General features: G+C 35.8%; 2 protein-coding genes across 2 annotated transcripts in view, besides 1 other annotated feature; both read right to left on the reverse strand.

Annotated features, from left to right (window-relative positions):
* Positions 1–27,070, reverse strand: part of TPD52-MRPS28 (TPD52-MRPS28 readthrough) — a 252,848-nt gene that overhangs the window by 24,165 nt on the left and 201,613 nt on the right. The gene's annotated exons all lie outside the window — the stretch shown is intronic.
* The window catches only part of MRPS28 (mitochondrial ribosomal protein S28), a 111,543-nt gene that overhangs the window by 24,165 nt on the left and 60,308 nt on the right, over positions 1–27,070 (reverse strand). The gene's annotated exons all lie outside the window — the stretch shown is intronic.
* Positions 19,245–21,630: an enhancer, noted in NCBI's record as "VISTA enhancer hs1305". NCBI's record gives its function as "enhancer in: neural tube[8/8] | hindbrain (rhombencephalon)[8/8] | midbrain (mesencephalon)[8/8] | cranial nerve[5/8]" and the evidence as "EXISTENCE:transgenic organism evidence [ECO:0001131][PMID:17130149]".

Genomic DNA, 27,070 nt, shown 5'->3' on the forward strand with positions numbered 1-27,070 from the left:
AGGGGAAATTCTAAAAAATAAAAAATAAATTTAAAAAAAGGTTGAAGCAAATTCAGTCAAAACTACTTCAATATCCTTCCATTAATTAACTACATGTTTAGGAGGAATCAATCATTGTATTTCACTCCAAGTGGTCAGGATCTAAGATTAAAAGACCACCCCCCAACATTGCCTTTTCATACTTCTGTTAAGTTTTGTTGTTAATACCAAGAGCTCTTCCCCCAGCTGTGAAGTCAGTCCAGCAGCTGCATTAGCAAACCATGCCAATCCTACACCAATATATAAAGACAGCTGCCTTGCCTGTCCTTACAGATGAAAGAAGAGTGCTAAAAGCCTAGAAAAATCTTTAGTACTGGCAATGACTATGAAGGCAGCTGCTTGCCTGTCATACTTCAGAGTATGCTATGTGACAATAGCTACAAGAGCCGAAGAAGGAATACAACTAATTTCTAACAGTAATACATTATATTTCCAAATTGTTTTCATCACAAAATATTGCATTGTTTTTGATACTTTTAGTTTTAGATTCCTCAGCATTCTACACACAGAAACAAAACCTTACTCCTATGTAAACAATGCTGATTTCTAGTTTCAGTAAATTAAGCAATAAAGAATCTTGAAGATTTGTGCTCCATAATTCAAGTCACAAACAGCAATTGATTTTCTAACATGAGCACTGTTATAATGTTTTCATATTAAACAGTGTTATAATGTTTTGATGTGTTTTTACTTCAGAATAATCTGAGACTCATACCAGCATACAACTGAATTTGAAGAGGACAGTAATTTGATGAAACTAAAAATTGCAAGCAAGAGTGTTTCTGTTTCAATAAAATGCCCCTCCCCTCTCTGCATACATTCAATATGAATTCAAAGTCTAAATAGAGATTATAAGCAGAATTGATGTTAATATTTCTCTTTTAGGAAATGTTTTTACATTAACCAAAAAAAGTGACTATACTTAATGGTCAAGATGCCTGCAATTTACTCTGAAATACTTAAAATATACCAGTGTGATAGTGTGATGTGAGCAAAAAAAACAAAGACACAATATAGGGAATAGTTCATTTTAGCCATAGTAAAAATCTACATTCCAGATTTGGCCACCGTAAGTGCCACTACTATTTGTATTTCAACAGATAACTGACCCTTTGCTAATCATCATATTGAATATCAGAAAAAATTTCATTGGTGAAAACAGTGGGCTACAACTACAATAATGAATATAAAAATGGGGTTCCATTTGTGAAATAAAAAGCATTTAAGAAATATGATCTGGTTAAAAAGTATTTTAAAGATCTGACTCATCCTTTCAGAATGCAGTGGAGCATGGATGTTTTTTCCTTATGGATGATGCCTTCCTTTAAGCTGAATATTCCAATATCCCACTGTGATATGTGGAAGACTGTTTGCCTATTGCAGGCTATGAAGGAAGCAGAATTCTCCCTTACATGACCCCTTTCCTGCAAGGTGTTGGTCAGAGCCTCTCTTAGGACTAAAGGATGGGCTTTCCTCAGGTTACGAGAACTACCTGTGCCTGCTTATTAATATTTAGTTAATACATTTCTATATGCTACGTTTATATGTGCAGCAAAATTTGGTCTGAGATTTGCTTTCATGAGACCCTAATAATGAGGTTGTAAGAAATAGCTAGCCCTTATCTTTTTCAAATTTCTTTGGAGGCTACCATTACCTACCAAAAAGAACCTAAGAGTAGGGCATAGCCACACTGGCTTAGGTCAATGTGGTAGTAGTAAGATATGCATTGAACACTGAAGAATAATTCTATTTAAAGCCATAATTTTTCTTTTTCTTTTTTCTTTTTTTTTTTTGAGACAAGGTCTCACTCTGTCACATAGGCTGGAGTGCAGTGGCACAATCTCATCTCACTGCAACCTCCACCCCCAGCTGAAGCAATCTTCCCATCTCAGCTTCCTGAGTAGCTGGGACCACAGGTATGCACCACAATGCCCAGCTATTTTTTTGTATTTTTAGTAGAGATGGGATCTCGCCATGTTGTCCAGGCTAGTCTCGAATTCCTGAACTCAAGCAATCTGTCCACCTCCGCCTCCCAAAGTGCTGGGATTACAGGCATGAGCCACCACAACCAGCCTAAAGCTATAATTTTTCTAAACACAAAACTTCAAATTCAACATATGACTATTATTATCAAGAGGCATTTTAAAATATCAAGTTAGAATGATCTACATAGGAACATATGACTTTACATGCAATACATAAAACCTAAGTTTCAATAAAGCCAGTACATAAATTTGGAAAGTCCTGGCAACCTAGTCACATGAAAAGCCTTTGGATATCTGTTATAATTTATTAGGGAAAATATGCATATATAATAACTATAGAGAGAGAACAACCAAAGGGATGCACCATAAGGCAATGTATTTATAAATATAAATTTACTTCCTAAAATCCCTGGGCAATAGAACTGACAAGAATAAACAGCCCTGCAACAAACCTCAGCACACATAGGCACCAGATGATAGAGACAGCATTTTATGTTTGTGGAAAAAAAGAAGATATATTCAACAAATCACATTGGGAAAACTGGCTTTACATCCAGAAGAAAGAGATTAGACCCCCATAGCAAACCAAACGTAACATAAGCTGTATAATGGGTACAGAGTTTCCTTTTGGGGTAATGAAAATGTTCTAAAACTGGACAGTGGTGATGGTTGCAAAACATTTTGAAAATACTAAATGTCACTGAATTTAAAATGGCAGAAATGGTAAGTTTTATATGTATTTTACCACAATAAAAACAATACGTGGCAGACATGTTACAGAAATTAAGTAATATTTATTTTCATAAATGTAAAACCTCATTAACTGTTAACATAATGAATTACTTCAAAATTTTCAAAACTGTATGAGAAAATGTATAATCTAAAAAGTTATGAGAAAATAAAAGGGTAAGCAAGCCCATTCAAGTAATCCTGTGCAAATTAGGATAAAAACAACTAATATTTACTGAACATTTAATATGTGCCAAATACTATTTTAAGTTGTTATTCTAGATACTAACCCATTTAGTCCTCACAACAACCCTATAAGGTACATACTGTAAAGAAAGAGATTACTGAGAAATCCTAAAAACCACTAATTTGTGTTAGGGACCAATCCAAAAAAAACTAACATAATTTCAAGACCAATTTTTGCTTATGCAAGGTCCTTAAGATGTAAACCTAAAAACCCTCCTTGATCTCAATGCTCCATATAAAATACCAATTCCATTGCTTACTATTTTCTAAATATATCATGAACCCATTCCTTCCTTTACATCCCCAATGTCACTGCCCAAAGCTAAATAATCAAAATGTCCCATCTTGACTATGGCAATAATCTGTTATCTCTCTTCTGGGCTCATCTCATCCTTCTAAAAATCATCCATCTGATAATCAGTACTCTTAAATAACTATTAATGTGTATATACTTGAAGTAAAGAAGAAATAGATGCTGTAACATATGCTTTTTTCTTGTATGTACTAATGAAAGTACAAACAACCCTCCTAGCCAAAATAGTCTGATTTATTTAATTGGAATCCAATTTAATGTTCACTCTGAGGTTTAAAATCTTATAGAAAAAGAACCAATTTGCCAAAATTAGACCTAGTTATTAAAAACATCACCCACTACATGTTAAAACACATATTCTCTGTTCAAGATAGCTTACTTGGGGAAAAAAAATCTCTAGAATGCAACAAATAAACCATTATATTTACAATGATTATCTCTGAGTGGTAGGATTTTGTTCTTTTCGCTCCTGTGTGATTTCTAAATTTTCTAAAGTAAATTTTCTAAAGTAATTTCTAAATTTTCCTAACCTTTTCAGTATGGAAAAAAACGCTTCTCAGCAAGTCATTAATTCTAGGTTTGCAAAATGATTATTTTTCTAACTAAAATAACAAGCGTTTGTATTTTATAAAGAATCATTGCAATTTAAGATTTCAGAATGTTGCCTAAGTATTAAAAATCAGCTTAATAGACAAAAAAGAAAATCAGTAACTTCGTAGTCTTATACTATAATAACAAAAAGTAACACTGTAGCCACTACATTTAGAAAACATAAGAAATAAGAAGCAAATACAAATTGGAAAGAGGTATGTTTTTCAGTGTTTACAGATGGTGATTGTTTCCTTGGAAAATCCAAAATAGTCAAAGTAATAACAAACCATAAATGTAGTAAGGTGACTGGATACAAAACTAACTCACAAAAATCCAACAGTCTTTATATACGCAAGCAAAAATTAGTATGAAGATGCAGTAAAATACAGCCAACACTGGCAGTAACAACAACAATGAAAAGATAAAACACCTTAAAATAAACATAAAATATGTGCGAGAGCTTCATGGAAACCAACCAAAAAGCCCTGTAAAGCCCTGATCTATAGTGGCATCTTTCCATATGCCAATACCATACTGTATTGTTACAATTTTACAATATGTATTGAAACCAGGTAAAAAACAATATTGTTTTGGATATTTTAGGTCTTTTACCTTTTCATATGAAATTTAAAATCAACTTACCAATTTCTTTTTTAAAATCCTACTATGATTTTGACTGAGATTACATTAAATCTATAGACTAATATAGAGAAAGCTGACATCTTAACAATATTGATTCCTTCTAATCATCTCTCCACTTATTTAGCTCTTGTTTAATTTCCTGTTGTTGTATTTTGTAGTTTTCAGCATAGAGGTCTTACATATCTTTTGTTAAATATATTAAGTTTTTTTTTTTTTTTTTTTTTTTGAGACGGAGTCTCGCTCTGTCGCCCAGGCTGGAGTGCAGTGGCGCGATCTCAGGTTACTGCAAGCTCCACCTTCTGGGTTCACACCATTCTCCTGCCTCAGCCTCCCGAGTAGCTGGGACTACAGGTGCCTACCACTACGCCCGGCTAATTTTTTTTTGTATTTTTAGTAGAGACGGGGTTTCACCGTGTTAGCCGGGATGGTCTTGATCTCCTGACCTCGTGATCCGCCTGCCTCGGCCTCCCAAAGTGCTGGGATTACAGGTATGAGCCACCGCGCCTGGCCTATATTAAGTATTTTTATGCTATTATATATAGTGTTAAATTTTTCTTTTTTTCTTCTTTTTTTTTTTTTGAGATGGAGTCTCACTCTGTCACCCAGGCTGGAGTGCAGTGGCGCAATCTCGGCTCACTGCAACCTCTACCTCCTGGGTTCAGGCCAATCTCCTGCCTCGGCCTCCTGAGCAGCTAGTGCTACAGATGTGCACCCCAACGCCTGGCTAATTTTTTGTATTTTTAGTAGAGACGGGGTTTCGCTGTGTTGGCCAGGCTGGTCTCAAACTTGACCTGAAGCAATCCACCCACCTTGGCCTCCCAAAGTGCTGGGATTACAAGTGTGAGCCACTGTGCCCAGCCAAATTTTTCAGTTTTTAATAGTTTATGCTTTGTATGTAGATATACATTTGTTTTTTATACTGGCTGTGTATCTCTAAACTCTGTTCAATATACTTTTAGTTCTAATAAGTTTTTGCAGCCATCTGCAAATAAAGACTGTTCCACTTCTTCCTTTCTAATCTGTGTATCTTTTATTACTTTTTCTTGCCTTACAACTCTAGCTATGACATCCAGTATAATGAAGAGTAAAAAGTTAAAAAGAATGGACATCTATGTCTTATTTCTGATTTTAGAAAATATCAAGGCTTTCACAGCTGAGTTTGATGTTAATTTTAAGTTTTTTTTTAAAATGACCTCAATCAGCTTAAGGAAGTTCTCTTCTATTCCTAGTTTGCTGAATTGTTTCTCATGAATGAACACTGAATTTTGTTCAATGCTTTTTCTGCTTTCCTGATCATATGGATTTTCTTTTTTTTATATTAATATGATGAATTACACTGATTTTTTTTCACAAGTTAAACCGAACTTACATTGCCAGGATAAACTGCACTTTGGTCATGATGTATTATACATTTTTCAAAAGCTATTTCTTGATTGTTACCATTTTGTTAAAGAGTTCTGCATCCATGTTCATAAGGTGTATTGGTCTACAGCTCTCTTTTCTTATGACACCTTTGAAACTGATTCCTGATATTTACTTTCTGCTATCATTATGAGTCAATAAAGAGTGGGAAATCGAGTAGGATGGTGTGTGTTTACTCCTGTTTGACAATTATTCATAGAGTAAAAAATTACATTAATGATTACATTAATGATTCAGTGTAGCTCAGTCTCTTTCACAGGTCTTCTGCTTTTAAAACTAATCTGCGGCTCGGTGCCGTGGCTCACACCTGTAATCCCAACACTTTGGGAGGCCAAGGCGGATGGATCACAAGGTCAGGAGCTCAAGACCAGCCTGGCAAGATGGTGAAACCCCCTCTGTAAGAAAAATACAAAAAATTAGCCAGGCGCTGTGGTAGGCGCCTGTAATCCCAGGTACTTGGGAGGCTAAAGCAGGAGAATCGCTTGAACCCAGGAGGCAGAGGTTGCAGTGAGCCGAGATTGCGCCACTGCACTACAGCCTGGGCGACAGAGTGAGACTCCGTCTCAAAAAAAAAAAAAAACAACAACAAAAAAAAACAAAACTAATCTGCTTTTGGGCGAAGCCTAGTATTTAATAAAATATAATGGTGGGTGACAGGATGATTCCCATTAAGCAAAATTTTAAGGCCCTGTTTTTGCTTCCAGCATTCAATCAAACTACAAGAACTTGCATTCTACCTTTCCAGATATCTCCTATAATCAGATATTATGTAGTATAATTAATATGTACATTACAGTTCCCGGTATATCTACATGAGTTCATAATAATTGTTGTTTTCCTCATATGACAGAAAAAAATAACTTTTTTTAGATGTCAATTTGTTGATGAAAAAGGATTTGTCAATGAACACCAAGTCTCTGAAACAGGACAAAGGGAAGCTCAATTAATGAAATCACCAACTAAAAATAAAATATTGGATATGATTATAAAATTTGAGTAGTGTTTCTGTATTTCGTCTTCTATATCCCTTTCCTCAACTCCAACAGGACAACTAAAAAGGTTTTCGTTACTTTAAATAAACTTTTCTTCCCTAGAACAAATATATCATGAATAATATTTGTATTGCATTGTTAGTTAGAAAAATCACTAAGCTATATTTCAGGTCATATTCAGAAAAAGTAAAGAAAAACACATGAAAATATAAAAATAAAAACAAAAAGCTCCCAAGCAAAAAACCCCAGCTTCCCCCCTAGTTTCTAGATTTAGATGGCAGGGAATTTCCAGATTATTTAACTAGTAAAACAAAATATTCATTAAAAGTCAAAAGTATTCTCTTGTGTATCAATAAAACAAATGCTTAACTAATTTTTTCTTTCTTTTGTTTTTATGGTGGTGGTAATCTTTAAGAAGTTTGGCATAAACAGTAACCAAGTCTTTGGTCTTCAATGCATTCTCTAGCAGCCTTTCTCAACTCGGGTTCAGCCAAAGAATTTAACCCCATAGAAAATGATTTGAATGACTCTATTCTCAATTCTCCCAGGAATGAGTAAGTTAATTCATTAAATATTTATTAATTCATTAAATATACTTTAGGATATTAGGGTATAATTCTCTAGATAAGCCTTTGTTGAGAAAGGCTGCATGATGATTCTTTCAATGATGTAGGTAATACAGTAAGATTTTAAACTGTAACACAAACACACACATATACACACACACACAAGCACAATTACAAAATGCCTTCGGATAGATGACTAGAAATAAAAATAATTCCACAACATTCTAAAAGCATCTTTATCAATATAGCTAATTTAATGAATAAATGTTATTTGCCATCTGAAGTAAAACTTTGAGTTTCAGAGCTTTACTTTACATCACACCAGCTGACCTTTAAGATGTTGTTGAGGACAAGTCTTAACCAATATCAAATGAATAAATTTCTGCTGCTATTCATCCTGGAGTCAGATGTGAAGTCAGTCAGTGTGAAGTCAGAGCATATGCCCTGTAGCTTTCACTTTAGGACTCATATTCCAAAGCACTGTATTTTCTCTGGTCATGGTATCTATAGCAGATGTTGCTGATTCCCAACCTAATATCTACCACTCCCCCCCACCTCCATTTCCTTCTTCCTGGCATGCCCCATTTTATTCATGTAGCCACCCTGATATTTTTCAGGAGAGGCTGGCTGCAGTCCTAATCCCAGGGAAAGAATAAATATGTGACCAGTGCAGTCACTCAGGGCCTCATGCACAGAAGGGCCCAGTGCTTGGGTTTATTAATCTGTGGTCACTGACTTGAAACTCTTAATAATTTTATCCTTGCATCTGAGTTTGTAAGTGAAGTAGGACGGGACAATGGCGCATGCACCCAGGGCTTGTTAGTCTAGGCTCACACACGGTCCCGATCCCTCAAGGACAGGTTCTCAGCCACCAGGTTAGGGGATGGGCATTACTCTGTAGAATCTCACTGCAAAGTGAGAAGATGGCCATTCTATCCCCAAACTGATGGTGCCAAGGTGTGTTATAAGGGCAAACCAGTGGTAGCCTCTTGCCCATCCATCATCTAGGTGCCTCTGTGCATCCTGGCACACAGGCAGCAATCCCTTGGGTTGTCCTCCACTGTGGGTTGAGATGGTGGGCCCATGACAAAGGAAGATTAACTTCCCCACCCCTACCTTGGGCCCTGAGTTTTCATTTTGCACTGGGCCCTGGGAATTATGCAGCCAGCCCCGGCAGATCTTGATAAGTCTGAATCAATCATGTGCTCTCACCCTCATTAATGACTGCTTCACAACTCAGCATGTGATGTAATTCTGGCCAACAGTATATGAAGGAATGCAGAGAAACTTCTACAAGAATTTTCTTACTCTTAAAAGAGACACACGAAAGAGATGCCCCCTTTCCTGTACCTGTAAATTAATTTTGGATATTATGCCTAGCATTGTTACTGCCATCTCGCAGCCATGATGGGATCAAGCCTGAGTATAAAACCTATACAGGGAAAAAGGCCAGACTAGAATAAAATATTACAAAAAGGAGGATCCACGGTTTTTATCACAACACAATCACAACTGTCTTACCTCTGGGTTCTTTGTTAGGTGAGTTGGTAAGTTTCTTATTGTTTAAAACAGTTAAGGTAGAGTTTTCTGTCAATTGCAACTGAAAGCATCTTCATTACACATGACGGCGCACTTTTAATACGAGTAATATCTCATAGAGCCTATTATCAACTTCGGAAAAGAATGCCCATTCCTTTAAGATGTCTTGAATCCCCCTTCCTCCAAGTAGATTTCATGTTTTACATAGCCCATATTTTAAATCAAATCATTTAAAAACCCTCCCTTCCAAAATTTGTTAGGATATTTTCAGTTGTTTCCTTGATACAGGTAGAGAGAAACAATTTTGTTCATATCGATTGAGAAGTACTATCATGACAGATTTAACAAGGAATATTAGAAAGAAAATGAAGTTTTTAATGGGCCTACTTTCTCTTTCTTCCTACCCTAACCTTCCAAAATTAAGTAGATCATCATTAGCTGAAAATAATGTAAGTGAAGAGTAAGAACAAACATAAAAATACACCAAGAGTAGAAATGTTGCCTCACTCTATTTGGCAAGAGAATGATGTAAATAGTTATCATGAAGAGGTAGCGATGTTCTTATAAGAGCATTCTGTTATCAAAACCTATGCCCCTCAAATGGGCTGGAACCTCCTCTCCACATGGCAAAATAGCAATCATAGAAAGCATACTAGCAGATGCATCCCTGTTTACTACCTACCCCCCTACATCAGGGTCCTTATTACAGGAAAGAGTCCCACGCCATCAACAGAGTTCCTTATTTCCCATGGGTAGCTTCTCTGCTACAGGGAGCCAGCTGTTTAATATGCTGACTGGGCCTCTCTTGAGAGCTACCTAGTTCTGCAAAGGAAACTATCTATTCTCAGATAATAATAATGAGAAGACTGGATAGTAACACTTATAATTTCATAACTTTGTGTCATGTAAAGCATCCAAGAGCAGGTAAAGAACACAAATTTCATCTGATTTTGGGAAAATCATAATCTCTTGCAAAAAACAAAACCAGTTAAAGCACAAGATTATAACATTTTTAGAGATAACTTTCAGTAGTGAGAAAATTAATTAAACATTCTTGAGAAGCCATGGAGCTGAAGTCAGTGCACTGACTAACAGAGCAGCTGTCAGTGCAAAGTGGGTTCCTGTCCTAATCCTGCTCTGACCTCAGAGTCGAGCCTGAGAACCTGTCAGAAAGGTGCTCTCACAGTGGAAGACATCAAGCAGCAGCTGCTTGAGCTCAGCAGGCTGCAGCCGTTTTCTCTCTTTTTTAAAAAATACAATGCCACTCCAGTTGCGTATTCCATGACACAAGGGCGTGTACAGTTCTCACTGTTGCTGCAGAGGACAGAGAGTTTTTAACTTCATTAGTACATGGCTGTCAAAGGCAGAGGGTTCTACCAGAAACTCTCCAGAATTTGGAGCTGGATGTATTAAGATAATACGATATTGGTTCAAAGACATGGTACAGAATAGAGATACCAGAAACAGCCATTTATAGGCCTTTATTTTTGGAAAAAGGTAGCACTGCAAAACAGTACAAGAAGGACAGTCTTTTTCATAAATTGTTCTAGGCTAACTGGATAATCATATGAAAAAAATGAAATTTGACTTCTACCTCATCCCATATACTAAAATCAATTCCAGGTGGATTTTAGAGTTGAATATAAATGGTTAAACAATAAAACTTCTAAAATATATATTAAGACCATATTCTACACTTTGGGATACGTAAAGCCTTCTTAAACTGAACACAAAAAGTATTATATAAAGGAAAAGATGGATATATTGAATTACTACTTTTGTTCATCAAGCTTCCACAAAAGAGTGAAAAGGCAAGCCATAGAGTGGGAAAAAATGTAAGTAACCAAGAAAGGGTTGCTACCCAGATATATAAAGAAATGCTACAAGTGAATCTTTTTCTTTAAAGAAAATCCTACAGAAAAATGGGCAATTAAATTTTTCTGTGTGTATGCATATACACTAAAAAGGGATTTTAAAATAGACAATAAACATGAAAAGTTCTCAACCTCAAGAAAATACAAATTAAAACTGCAATAAAATAATGCCCTACCAGAATGGCTATATTTTTTTAAACACTGACAGTAACAACTGTGTGAAGTAATTGGAACTTGCATTCATTCCTGGGTAGGAATATAACTACTATATCCCTGAAGCCAGGCACACTACATGCTCCTGTATTCTCAGCTATTTGGGAGGCTGAGGCAGGAGTATCCCTTGAGCCCAGGAGTTAGACTCCAACCTAGGCAATAGTGAGACCTCACCTCTAAAAAAAAATTAAAAATTAAAACATAAAAATTAAACCATAAAAAATATAGCCTCTTTGGAAAATGGTTTGGCATTATCTTCTAAACATACGCATATCCTATGACCAGCAATTTTACATATATAGATATATCTATATATGCACACATACACACTCATGGAAACTCTGTTCCAAAAAGGGGGAAACAGGAGGCACATAACAGACTGTATTCTGCAACGATTCTGAAATCTAGCCAATGTTACCAGTTGCTTGATTAGGGCTTAGTCTTACTGTCTGAGAAAGATACCCTGGGGCTTTTCTCTGCCTTCTGGGTTCTTGGTTCTATCCTCTGAACTAACCTTCCTTTTCCATCAAATATAGCCTGCATTTGCAAGTATTAGTTTTCTCAGCCTGCTCCTCTCCATAGAAATCCAGGGTTCAAATACCTCTTCATTTTAAGAGTATCTCTGTATCCCTTAGTCCAGCTGGCAGTGTTTCCTCCACTGCAATTCTCTTGAAAACTTTGTGGGCTTTTTGTAAATCACAGCAGAGTTCACTTCATTAAACCAAAGCCACACCTACAAATCTTGTTGAAATAAACCCTTCTCCCTCTTCTCTATCTTGAAATATGCAGTGGAATAATGCCTTTAAGACTACTGGAAGCTTGGCTGGGTGCAGAGGTGTGCACCGTAGTCCCAGTTACCTGGGAGGCTGAGGCAGGAGAATTGCTTGAACCCAGGAGGCAGAGGTTACAGTAAGCTGAGATTGTACCACTGCACTCCAGCCTTGGCAACAGAGCAAGACTCTCTTTAGAAAAAAAAAAGAATATTGGAAGCTCCATCTAATGCCTATTTAATGAAAGAATATCTGTGAGGCACACCCTTAAGTTCTTTTTGTCTGTTTAAAAGAGTCGATAAGGTACTGCTTTAAGTTATTCTGAGGTCTTGCCTTTCTATAGACCCAGTTTTCCTGACTGCACCCTTGGATTTCACCTTTGCTCACAAGCCATTGCCCAGTTTTAGAACCATCTGCCATGCGGGGTGATGATTCCAGGTTGAGAACGAGAAAATAAACTTATTGCTGAACCTAGCAAGTCCAGACTGATTTATATTTAACTTCTCGAATTTTAGGCTGTCTCTCTTCTCATTTTATTTAGGCAGGTAGAAGCCAGGTATTAAGAGTACCTTTGACTTCTGCGTGGATATCTCCTTAGCTAGATCCTCTGGTTCATGAGGTACATTTTCTATTTTCCATATTATTATAGGTGAGGATGTTGCCAAACTTTCTTCCACTATATAACAAGCATATCCTTACCCTCAGCTTCCAATAACATTAAAGCCTGTGCTGACAGTTTCCTCAATACCCTTTAGGCCTCCGCTAACAGTCTCAAGATTCTTCCAGCTTCCATCCACTACCTGGATGGAAGCCAGTGTCACATGTTTTAGGTTATTTTTATGGCAGTATTCCACTTCCAGGTACTTCATAAAATCTGTGCCACTTATGTAGCACTATGCAAGAAACTACTCCAAATTTAGTTGCTTAAAACAAAAATAGTTTATAAATCTACAATTCTAATCAAATTTCAAAACAAAGGTTTTGGTTGAATGAAACATTTGTTCTATGTGTAAAGTTGACATTCTATGAGTAAGAATGGCAATTTTTTAGTACTTCTTAGTTATCACTGGACAGTACTAAAAATGTTTCCGAAAACTAAGAATAGCTAACATTTATTGAGTGCTACTAAACCCTTTAGCTTCCGATTTTCCAAAGGCAAGCAACATAGGACCAAAACTGTTGGAATGGGACCCAAGAGTTCTAGGCTTTGGGTCAAAGTTCTCTGGACCTTAGTTTCCTCATCTAAAAAATGAAAGGCTGGACTGAATTTTTTTTTATTTTTTTAAATTTTCTTGATGCCTGATTGCCTTTGAAACAACTTTTTGTTGGCTTTTGCTGTTATGAATAGCTAGCCTCTTAAATCCAGGTGTATTACATTTTGTTGCTGCTCATCTTATCTTACAATTGCAGAGTTGTTCCTAAGACAAGTTAATACTATATGAAATAAATACTCCTTTTTGAGTATGTATTTAAAATATTTTATATCAAAATTATACGTGGCATTATAAAATGTTTCATCTGGTAGAATGCTAACTTTGAATAGATTTTATTTCTTATACTTTATTATAATTATAAAACAAGCTATACTGTTACTATTTTGCCTTTTACTCAAGAAAGCACAAATAAATATTTAGTAATTTAAAGATACCAAAGACTACAAAATATAATTTAAATACTTTTTTTAACTATTATTTTAGGTTCAGGGGTACACATGAAGGTTTGTTACATAGGTAAACATATGTCACCAAGGTTTGTTGTACGTATTATTTCATCACCCAGGTATTAAGCCCAGGACCCAATGGTTATTTTTCTGCTCCTCTCCCTCCTCCCACCCTCCACCCTCAAGTAGACCCCAGTGTCTGTTGTTTCCTTCTTTGTGTTAATAAATTCTTATCATTTATAGCTTCCACTTATAGGTGAGAACATGCAGTATTTGGTTTTCTGTTCCTGTGTTAGTTTGCTAAGAATAATGGCCTCCAGTTCCATTCATGTTACCACAAAAGACAATCTCATTCTTTTTTTGGCTGCATGAATATTTCTTAATTCCTTTTCTGCACCTACACTGGGTGACTATATATTAATGAGATTAATTAACACATGAACAGTTCTCTCAGCACTGTCCATTAACGAATTTAGTAACGCCTACAAGGCCTTTCCTGGTACCTTCCTAGTCCAGCTTTCTAGAGTCATCTCCCGCTGCTGCTCCTGCCGCATGAATTCTGAGCTCAGGAGTCACCTAAGTCACTTGAAGTTCTTGAACAGTCTATGCTTGTTTTGTTTGTTCTCCCCTTGCCCCTGTGCCTTCGTATAAGCTATTCATTCATTCTCTTTGCCTAGAAGGCCCTCGTCTCCCTGCCACATTCTGTTTTTTCTTAGACTAAAAGTCCCATTCTTAAGAATCTTCCATAATATCTTGGGGTAGAACACAGCACTTTCTTTCCCCATGGCCCAAAGTCTGGTCTGCTATTTTAAAAAAAAGGTCAGACCTTTATGACATCATGTAGCATGCTGCCACATTTTTTGGCATACTTTTGTTTTTGTCTATCTACTCTACTAATAGCAAGACTCTGGAGGGCAGGAATTATAATCTGGTCATCTCTGTATGTTTAATATATAAGACCAGAGCCATGTGTGGTGGCTAATGCCTGTCATCCCAGCACTTTGGGAGACCAAGAAGGGGGTGGTTCACTGGAGGCCATAAGTTCCAGACCAGCTTGAGCAACACAGTGAGACCTTGTCTCTACAAAAAAAAAAAAAAAAAAAAACTTAGTGAGGCATGGTGGTAAGTGCCTGTAGTCCCAGAAACTCTGAAGGCTGAGGGCAAGGGGATCACTTGAGCCAAGAAGGTCAAGGATATAGTGAGCCATGATTGTGCCACACTGCATTACAGCCTGGGAGACAAAGTAAGCCCATCTCAAAAACAATAGCAACAACAAACAAACAAATTAAACAACATATGAGACAGTACCCAGTATACACTAGAAAAATCCACAAATCTTTGCTGAACAAGTGCATTTTTAACTCTGCTGATCATGTGGTTGAAGAAGACACAAATGTCTTAAACAGTCATCTTTTAGAGCTGTATAGATTCACATATTACAGTGTGGATATTACATTCTATTAAAATGAAGCTAGGCTAATGATTTAGTCCACATGTAACATATTTACTATTCTAAAGTGGTATACTAAAACTTTAACAGCTTTATTGAGATATAATTCACATATCATAAAATCTACCCAAAGTGTATAATTCAGTGACTTTGAATATATTCTCAGAGCTGTACAGCTTTTACCATAACCTAATTTTAGAACATTTTCATCACCCCAAAAAAGAAACCCTGTACTCATTAGCAATCTCTCCCCCTCCCCTATTCTAGACTCTGGGGATGACTAATCTACTTTCTGTCTCTGTGGATTTGTCTATTCTGAACATTTCATATAAATGGAATCATACAATATATGATCTTTTGTGAATGGCTTCTTTCATTTGGCATAATGTTTTCAGGGTTCATCCATGTTGTATTACAACTTCTTTATCTTTTACGATGTTTTCCAAAGTCAGAGTTGGAAGAAAAACAGGTTATCATCACTTGTGAAAATCTCCTCCAAACAGCATACCACGAAATGGGACTCCTGAGTGAAGGAGAAAATGTTGAGATTCAGAAGAACTCAAGGCTATTTTAAAAATAATTTTTATTGCTAATTTTATTTGGTACACTAACAATTTTTTAAAAGGCATTTATTAAGAAAGAGAGTCACTAATTGATTTTGTTGAGTTTTTCTTTAATGTAAAAAGGGCTGTCCTGAGCCTTTGCTGATAGGCATATATCAACACAAAGTGATTTAGCGATTTAGTGAATGACCACTGCCCTGATATTCTGTTCTGTTAACACAGCTAAAATACTAACAAATGTGATGTGTGCTCAACACAACAAACACTGGATTCTGCTGGTATGAAGTGTCAGGGTGAGTTTTTCTTATGTCTTGTGAGAAATGTTTCACATTTAACCCCCAAGTATATAAAAATTAGTTTGGATTTACTCAATTCACTTAAATTAAGCAAATTATATAACTGAGTTTAGTAAGAATTTACTGTGAGTCTTGTACCAACACTGCCTTAAAGATAGACATGGGGTTACAATCTAGTTTTGGAGACTATATGAGTTAAAGAAACAATGCAAGATTATCTATAAATTAGTGGTATAGACAACCACAACATACACTATATATATTCAACTAGAGCTACATAACAGATTTTAAAGTGAAATCCTTCCCTCTTTCACAGTGTGAACTTGTAAAGCACTAGACTGTACAGGAATTACGTTATTTTAACTGCAGTAAAGATTACTGAACTAATGACATTCTATTGCTAACCGACTTTAATAATAGCAGTAAATCAGCTCCAAAATACTGTTATTAATATTCTTATGACACAGAAATAGTGCTGTATTAAGTAATGTTCAAAGAACAGGTCTCACAAGCTGAGAGCTAGAGATCTTTATTATAAAAAAGCTATAAAATATGAAAAAAAAATTCAAATTGTTATTCCCAGGGAGGTATTCTACCTATTTTTAATAGTTATAGGAAAATTGGCTTTTCTAACTGAAAAGACTGTAATGAAGCTTTTTCTAAGAACTACAAGATTCTATGTTATATATCTGTTGTATACACATAGTTTTTAAAAGTTAGATTTCATTCTGAAAGATTGAACGGTACAACTTTAAATGAAAGGGAGACAAGGAGATTGCTAATACAAAATGGTTTCCCTTATCTGAAATATAATTTTACATAGAAAAACTTTGCAGCAAATAGAAATGTAAGCACATTTACAATATGGGTTTTGGGTATGAAAGAAAGGTTACCACAGAAATTTTAGTCCTAAAAAACTGAGTTATCAACCATCCAAATAGCAAATCTATTTATTTTAGCTAATAAGACAAGTAGAAAATATTAGATTATAATCCTAGGCTTTTAAGAGCTGTATACTTCATAAAACCAGTATATATGTTTAAAAAACACTTATAACTATGCTTTATTTCAGAGGCTCATAATCTTATAAGCCAATATTAATTTTATCAAGAAAGCAACAATAAACTATGTACTTTCTCTTCTTGAAAAAGCACAGAGGCTAAACATTGATTTAAACGTCTCAACACTGCCAAATCTCCCACGGATTATTCCCAAACCTCAAATCCTGACAACATCCTGTTTTACAGGGGTGACTGCTTTCCACATGGTGCAGTCTCAGAGAGACCACAGGGCTTTCCTTGGGGTTTAGGCTGGCCTTTCCTTGAACAGAGCAAAGCACTGTGGAGTGAATCACTACAGAAATCCTGCCATGACAGGTACTCTTGCTTCCTTTTTAAAGAGACAAATAGGAAAGCTAGATGGGAAAATGCCTGGCTGCTTTGTCCCTTGTCTGCACAGCCCCTCACTTTCCCACAACAGGTAGGCACAAGCATAGAATGCTGCTGCAGGCTGTAGACCTTGCCAAGAAGCTAAAACCCACTGGTTTCTACAGTTGTCCCAGGCAGACCCATTTTCTACTAATCCTGGCTCTGTGCCAGAGCCTAATTAAGTCACTGAGAATGCTGGATGGTTAACCCTCTCTGCACCCATCTACAATTATTTGCAAAGCACTTCGATATGCTTTCACTTTTCCCAAAGATATGTGTACCAGACTGTCTCAATGTATAGCAGTGTGAATGTGGGTGGGTGCATGCAGGTACCCCACAGGCTAGTACTTAATACCAGTGTATGTACTTACTGTAAAGAAAGAGAAGCTCAACTGTGAAGGCTAGCATTCAGGAAACCTTCCAAAATATATGTGTGGCTTAGTTTTATTAGTTAGGATTTAAAGAAAAGTGCAGAAGAATTCTACATTTTAATTATGCTTAATCTTAGGGAAATAATTTTCCATTAAAAGAAAAAGAAAACAAGTATTTAGATCACAATGTCTGTTGTGAATCCTTTTTACCACAGGAACAAAACATTATAGAGCTTTTGAAATTCCCAGAGCCGCTGCTGTTCATTAAAAAAAGAAAGCACCCTTTTAAGATTTAGGTGCTTTATCTTTTACAAAATGAAAAGATCAAACATAAAACCTTATTTGTAAGCAAGGCAATAGTGTCTCTGGGTTTCTTGCTAAGATCAACAGCAATGAGGATGAATGAGGGGAAGCAGTGACAATGGTCAAAATGGGTGAAAGGAAGCTCTCTGTTGAGGCCGGCCTTCCCTGATTTCAATCTTTAGACCCAAGGCCCATAACTCTGTTTAACTACTATATCCTGAATAAAAAGTTAATTCTACTCTAATGAGAGGCAAGTGAAGCTGAACGATGAGAGGAACACTGAGTAACCTAATTGAGCCCATATAATCTGATATCAGAGATCTCTACTTGAAGATAATTCAAGAATATCTAAATTGGAATTCAGGAGAAATGCAGGAAATTGATTAGTCAGGCTAATTATTTTCCCTTTTTGACAATAGGATATCCCAGTATACACAATACATAATTAAGTAATCTTTTCTCTTTCTCTATTCTTTAACAAGAGACCTGCTACAGATGTTCAGCTTCCAACTTCCTGTTAATATTGATGCAATTTTCTATGGACCAAAATGATAGGAATCATTTTTCAGCTACCCAAATGCCAAATTCATTTTATCCCAATAACTTTTCTCCATTCTTCTCATGCTTCAATTACTTGCACTTACAACTCCTATTACTTTATAGGAAAATAACACCAAAATTGAAAGGTTTTCTTAAAATTATCATGGATACACAGGAATATTTCTATTTAGTGAAGACAGAGTATTTCACACCTATGCACCACCACAATATGGCCAAAACAAAAGAGTGGCTTAATTAATTGCTGGCCAAGAGCCACGTTCTTTCCCAATCAGGGCTTCTGCAAGATGGCATATGGTTTGCTATTTCTTACAAATATGAAAAGCCTTTTGAAGTGATTACACTTAGTATCTGTCAAAATAATTCTGTATGTGAAACACCAGCACTGAAAAATGAAAGAAGGTATTATTTATGCAAGACGATTTCACTTTAAGTTTGAAAATAATTTTCATTTCTAAGGATTAAAATACTGACCAGCATGCCATTTGAGTAAATATTATTTTTATTCCACATACTGTTCCATGTAGAAGATGTCAAGTTTACTTAGGAACATTAATGTTAAATATTATTTTTTAAGTGGAACGAATATTTCTTCATTATTGGCCCACATTTTCTAAGGTAGAACATATTTAATACTTAATTTTTTATCTTATTTTCTGTATTAAATTCAATCACTGTGCCATCTTTTCAAAACTGCGCTTGTAGTGAGGATGGTTAAAAAAAAAAGGAGAAGGGTAACCTGAGTTCCCAGAGGGTAGTAGTTTTATATTATTCGTCGTTGTATTTCCAGTACCGAGGATACAAGAGGTGATCCTGAATGGCCATGCTTTGAATAACCACCAGAAGCTACAGGAGCCCAGTGCAACCACCCAAGCTTACTCTGAGAAGCACAAGGCAAGGGGGTATGAGCTAAGTAAGCCCTGCTTACAGGACTCTGGTTCAAAGGGCAGAATAATCCAGGCCAGTGGGCATCCTGAGTGCTTTCTCATCAAGGTCCCAGTGGGATTTGTAACCATCCACTTAGAAAGATAACGCCTCCAAACATTCAAGAGACAGAAAGTATCAAAAAATTAGAAAAATCTTTAGGTTACAAGGTCTTAAAACTTTTCGTCTATGTCCTACAACAGTTTCACTCCTGATATACTTCATAATACCACTAGTGACAGCAGGAATTAGAAAAAGTAATCCAATAGATTTTTATTTTAAAATTGTACCCTAATACCTAGCACAGAATCTACTAAGTTTTCAATAAATATTGTGAAATAATGAATTGCGGCAGTGAATGAAAATATGAAAGTAGGGTGCTCAAATGGTAAAGGGATTTTCACGGTTAGTTGGAACGCAATTCTAAACATGTTTTCTTTTACTAGTATAAAAGTGATTCTTCTCCACAGGACATTTAGAATGTGATGTACTGGGACTAATTTATTCAAATGTTTGCTCCTTAGATCACTGAAAGAAACTAGGAAGGATAGGCCTTATTAACATAATTGATAGCCATAAGCCTCAATTCACTCTGATGTACTTGCCATGCCTGGGGAACACAGACCTCTTGGAAACACTGTCCTGCATTGGAAGAGCATGGCAATGAAACACAATGGATAAAACCCGCAGGCAAGCAAGGAAAATTACGTTATGAGGGGTAGCCCTTTCAAAATGACTTAGTATGATGATGTGATTGTACAGGATAGAAATACAAAATTATCTTTACCTTACACTACTTAAAATCTAAAACTGAATCAAGATTATTCATGCTGGAGTCAAGGAAAAGCACCGTATTCTCAAAGAAAAACATATGCAAACATCTGTGGCAGAGGCTATTTTAAAGTATCCATCTTGTTGATCTTTTAGTCTTCTTAGCCTACTATGTATTTTCAGTTAAAAATCATTAAAGTCCACCATATATGAACCCAGACACAGGACAAAAACAACAACAACAAAAAACCACGTATTTTTTTCCATGGGGGCGGTAACCAGATGTCAATAGCTGCAGCTGTGACTATATAATTACCTGTTTGCATTAACATAGACCACAGTTTAGATTTAATAGGTTAGATGACAATGCAGCAAAATGCATTTAGCCTATGATTACCCCCTTTCCAAACATTCTCTCATTCGCAACTTCGACCCTGGGAACATAGCAGGCACAGACTTAGGTCAATAAGAAACACTGGCCAGTACAATAGGCCTTGCCTCAAACAGCACTGTTGACAGACACCAGCACAAAGGAAATGAATAGAGTCCCCCTCAGTTCTCACACAGAGCGAAGAATGACTCAGTGTACTGCTGCTTTGGTGCTCTGTTTGTACAGTGTATACAGCTTTTGTCCTCAGCCACTGTTCACAGCTCAGTGGGGGCTAAAGAGCCTAGGAAGTGAAGGCGGAAGAATGCTCCACACTCGTCCCTGTGGCCAGCAGTTGTATCCATATGCACATGACAGGTCAAGTGAGAACTGAAAGTCACTAGATGAAACTCTCCTACCAAGCTTACAGGAGTGAAGTAATTTCTGAGTTAAAATATAAAAAAGGTAAAATAGAAAAGTCACCATTAGTTTGATATTTATAGAGTTATTGACTGAATTATTGTTCTTTTGTTTTTCTCTTTTCTGTCATATTTCTCTTATGGCCACTTATACAACCTTTTTCAGAGGTTGGGCACAAAGAGAAATCAGGATTGGCTTAAAGTAGGGAACTTAAGTAATGTAGGCCATTACTCAACAGAGATTGCTGAAGTAGGGCCAGAAAGCAGGTGAGGCAATATCCAGGTCTGGAGTCTGAAGCATCAGCAAGGGTGGGCAGTGGCTTTGCTTGTTGTGTGTATATTAATATCATATTGTCCCAAGCACATACACATCTCTCTTTAGGCCCACTTCCCAAAGTAGTGGGGTATAACAATAAAGAGCCCAAGCCAGGGATAAAATAAAATTCTAACACAATTCAGCGGAGACTATAAACAGACAGATACTTCCACTGGCTTAAAATGGTTTGCTTGATACTGGCCAAAAAACCTAGTTAGAGCAAAGTACAAGCTCAATTGCTAAATGAAATGTCATTTCCCTAAGCCAGAAACATCTTGGCAGAATCACATCTGTATTTAAGCATATGTGTTTTGGAATTAGACTATGTTCAAATTCTGGTTCCACCAATTACTAGCTGTATGATCTTACATAACCCCTCCAGTGTCTTGATTTTTCTCATCTGCAAAAATGAAATGCTCGCCCATTTCTTTATTTAAAAAAAAAATAACTGAGATAATAATACTAGCACTTACTTCATTGGAGGCTGTGAAGGTAAAATAAGTGAATACATGGGAGGTGCCTAGAAGACCTGGCACCATGTGAGCATTCAATAAATGTTACCTATGAGTGTTAGCCCCAACACTCACACTATGACCACTGCCATGATTCTACTACTATTAATAACATCAGAACCATCACCAGCCCTACAGCGAAGGAAGTGCCATATTCATGACTACAAGAACATTCTTGCCAGATGATCAAGATCACTGTTCTTGAGTCTATGAAGATATCCTATTTACCCAGAGGCTGTTTTTAGTGGTCTCTAGTAAGTAGATGAATTCAAGCTTTATGGATGCTGTATATGTGACATAGCCATATATAATACACACACATGTATTAATATTAACATTTTTAAAAGGTAAGTAATTTGAAATTTCCCTCAAGTTTAAATCAATCTACAGCCTAATAATTATTCTTAGGGAGAAAAGACAATAACAAACATTAATTAACTGCTCACTATTTTAGGGGCCAGATATTCTTCTAAGTGATTTCTCTAAAGTACTATTATTTTTACAGGAAGGAAATTGAATGATAGTGTTAAGTAACTCACTTAAGATGACACTGTTAAATAAGCAAACCCAGGCAATTTGACTTCAGATCTTGTCATAAATATAACACTATACTGTCTCATTAATATTCCTGTGAAAGCATCTACCACAACTTGCTAAGTAGTACTATCCTTATTCTTATGCTTAGCAAAGGAAAGAAGTCACTGTCTTAGAAGATCTGGCATAGAATCAACCCATATATCCACAGTAGTCTCATAAATGATAATATATTAGGAATTATGATATGCTTAAGGTACGTCCTTTTATCCTTTTTGAATAGGCTGGGGCTGACTATATCTGGTTTAGTAGGAGTCAAAAAGTAAAATGCTTTAACTGCTTTCATAAATCCTCATCACTACACAGCTATAATTAGTTTCACGCTTATGAATTTTATCTTACATGTTAATTATATCTGCAATGATTCTGAGAATGCAAAGAAATTAATTAATGAAAAAATAACTGCTTTGAGAGTAGATGCTTTAAGCATATAAGTGATAACAGGAAGAAAAAAATGTCCATTGTTTTGATAACTTTCAGAATGTCTCTCTATGCTTAAGTCTTCCACAGTATCGGTCAATTAAATATCAATACCAAGCAAGAACAATGTCAGCTGATTAAGTAAAATTTTGTACTTCTTTAAAAGTTCATTTCATAAGGCTCTGATTTTATTCTTAAAAGTCTGAGCTTCTGAACATATGTAAGTATTCATGAATGATCCTGATTTTAAAAAAGAAAGGTAACAGACTTCCATATCTAGCAGTATGTTAGAATGACTAAATTGACCAAAGGTTCTCCTAAAAAGAAAGAAACATAATGGTTAAAATAACAAAAATATTTTCTTTAATTCTATTATTGAGTCAGCAGTTTAGGAATGATTATAGAAAGGCAGAAAAAAGAAAAGAGCTACAAATCAAAAAATAAACAGAACACTGAAGCTGGGTTTTGCAGAACTTGAGTGAGCTTGTTTTAACATTATAGATATATAAAGGGTCAATATATAATAAAAAGCAGAATAAAGTTGCCTAGAATATGAAAATTCTAAACTTGCATGAAAGTAGTAAAACAGCCTCAAAATATATAAAAGCAAAAATTAAAATAATTACTAGCAGCAAAGACAAATCCACCATCGTAATGATTTTATAAATGGTACATTTACACAAGTTGACCAAACACTGGTCAAAAAAGTAAGTTTTAACAAATTTGAAAAACTGGAGTCACTTTCTCTGCTCTCAATACAATTATGCTAGAAATCAATAATAATTCTCATTTCTTTGAAAATTTAAAAGGTATTTCTATGTAACTCATCAGTCAAAAAATAATGGAATCTAGAAAACGGTATGAAAAAGTACGTGAAAAATTGGCACAGTTTTTCACATGAACGATATAACAGCATGATATAATCTTAAAAAGCACTTTAATTCTTGTGAATTAATTTATTTAATTGCCTGTAGTTCGTCTGGCTTTAGTGCTTTTGTCATTCATAGAATACTCAATTAGCACAGTTCATAATCATGTATGCTATGTATAAAAAAGTGACCAGTATTTTTTCATGATAATAAACCTGTTCTATCTCACTTTATACTTATGAATAATCTTCTCTGGCCGGGCTATTCCAAGGTATAAATTGTTTGAGTCAGTTTGACATCTTAAAATTTTCCATCCTAAAAGTATTTATGATTCTTTGACCCCAATTCACATATCATTTTTTTAAACTGTTGAGTAACTGCATACACACATTTAAAAGCAATCTTGATTTGAGTAGTTCCTATCTAAGGTCAAACACTTCAAAAATTGTAGGCCTAGTATGGCTAACAACATATCCTAGTAGCATATCTTTTGACAACAGGCAAGAAAGAGAATGAGAGCAGGAAGTATTAGTGTATGGATATTGAGTCTTGGCTCCTAGAAACTGAGAAGTTAAAAGAAACACAGACAATGACATTCATTCACTCACTCACTCACTCTCCTCAGCTCTTTTCTCTCCACATGTCTGCATGCTTCTTCTTTCTTTGGATCAGCTTTCTCTGTTCTCTAGTCTGCATGGCATATAATATGGCTACTCAAAGCCCTGAAATTTACAAGTTAAAGCCCCAGACATGTTAAGAGACTAATTCTCTTTCTCCTGTTCCCAATTCCCAATTCCAGGGGACTTGGATTGGTTCCAGCTTTGTTCAGATGTCTGTTCTCGTCTAATCAGCTGTGGCTAGGTGGAAAAGGCCACATAGTTTCCCACTGACCACTGCTTGGGTAGCAAGGGGTAGTAAAAGGTTTTGTTGTGAGCAAGAAATGGCATAGGTGTATCAGCAAGCAACATGTGCTACGTGTGTGCAACGTGCTTTCTGATGGAATCCTAACACCACCCTATGCCTGTTAGACAGGTGTCAAGTTGAATAATCAAGATGGACGGCATTGCCTGGGGCTTTGTGTAGGGAAAGTGATACTATTTGGCACTGGACAAAGGTGTGGAGGGTAGATTTCCTCAAGTAGCAAAAGACTGTACAGCAAAGAGACGTGTGGCCAGCACTGCCCCAAGAAGCTGACGGGTCACATCTGAACAGAAGCTGCCAAGTATACAACTGATACATGCTATTAGTATATGTATATATACTATTAATATATGTGTATATATCATATAACTGATACATACTATTTACATTATCTTGAATGTACAGATTTAAATAATCAAAAGTGAGTATGGCAAAATAATGCATGATTAATCCACCCATTTGCTCAACCTATAAATTCTAGCATAACCCTTTCTCTTCCCTATCTCCTTCCTGCTTATTTACTTATCAATTCTTACTCCAAAATACCTTTTCAATTGGTTCCTTCCATTTCATCAACAATACCACGGTCTTAATTTGTCTTATTATATCTCTTTTCTAAATTTTTGCAATAGCCTCCTAAATGACTGCCCTGCCTCCAAATCTCCAATATATTTTGTACTAGCTTCAATTTCCATAATTTCTACTTTAAAGCAAGATCCTGTCCTTGTCACATCCCTGCTTATAAGTCTCTAGTAAGTTCGTCACAGGCTACAGCAGAGGTCCCAAACATAAGTGCACATCAGAACCACATAAATTTCTGGCCCTCATCCTAGATTTTCTCAATCAGAATCTCCTAGAATGGGGCTTAGAAATTTGTCTTTTTAACAAACTTCCCATTTGATTCTAGTAACCTGTCCAGCATCAATCTTTGTATCTGTGTTACAGAGCCACTGTTCTATAATATAAAGTCCAGACTCCCTGAATAGAACACAAGTCAATTCACAATCTGATTCCAACCATTTTCTAGTCTCAGCCCCTGCAACTTTCCCTTCTCAACCTTTCTCACAACACATTATGCCCTTTAAGACTGTCAGGTATCTATATATCTGCCTTCTTCTCCTCTCTCGCCTTAGGGAACTTCTACTCATTCTGGGACAGAGTGAGACTCTGTCTAAAAAAAAAAAAAAAGAATCAGTTCAATTGTCACCTACTCTGTGAAGCTTTCCTTGACTGCCTCTAGCATTTATTCATTCCCTCTTGATTACAGAGTTGAAGAGACAGTATAGTGTGGCCATTAAGAACACAGGTTCTGCAACTAGATTGCAAATGTTTGAATCTAGGCTCTGATAATTTCTAATAAGTCAGTGAGTAACATGTGTACTTGGACAAGTTAATTGGTCTCTGTGCCTTAGCTGCCTTCACTGAAAATGGGAATAATAACAGTGTGTGTCCAATATAAATTCTAAGGGTTAATGAGTTAATGTACAAAAAACAGTTGCTCAGACCCTAGCAAATGATCCTTAAATATTAGCTTCGTGTTTAAGAGTTATTCCTGTCCCTTAGACTATGAACAAGTCTATTATATTAAGCCAGTCAATTTAAGAGTTCCCCTTGTTAGTTGTGGTACCATAAATGAAGAAAAAAATAATAATTTAACAGAACTTATTTTCATCTCCTCAAAAGATGACTGAGGATAATGTACTAAACCTATTTAAGAAAAAAAGCCATTTATGTGAGAAGGGCTTAGGTTATCTTTTTAAGTCATTCACTTGATAGGAAGAAACAATTTGGAAATCTTAGACAACTATTTGAATTTCAATGAAGAAAGAAAATATTAAACATAGCTCTGGGCTATTAAAACTGTATAAAGAACTGAAAAATCTAGAAAGAAATCTCACAGAACAAAATTCCTGTTATTATAAAACCAAAATTTTAGCCAAAAATATATCTCAAGAAATCCTGTAGACTTTTAAAATGACTAGAAATAGAATAAAAACTTTTTATAAATCCTGCCTTTTATTACTAAAGTCATATCTGAAATGGAAAAGATGGGGTAACGGAAAAACCTGGTCATCTGTAACAAAAGAAAACAGAGGCTGACGCAGGAGGATTGCTTGAGCCCAGGAGTCTGAGACCAGCCTGGGCAAAATAGCAAAACCCCACTATAAATTTAAATTTATAAAATAAAAAAATAAATTAAAAATAATAAAGGAAAGCAAATTACGGTTATGTAAGGTAAGAAGTAAACAGGAAAACTAAATTGGTGCTCAGATATAAAGTGAGCATCTTCTGTAATTTTCCGTTTTTCTTATTTTGCTTTGGAAATATTAGCTATTGAAACAAAATATAGTGAAATCTGGTAACAGGAGTCAGCTCTTCTGCAGAACACATTTCTCCTTGGACGCATT

This window comes from Homo sapiens, chromosome 8 (genome assembly GCF_000001405.40).
Source record: "Homo sapiens chromosome 8, GRCh38.p14 Primary Assembly".
Lineage (NCBI taxonomy): Eukaryota > Metazoa > Chordata > Mammalia > Primates > Hominidae > Homo > Homo sapiens.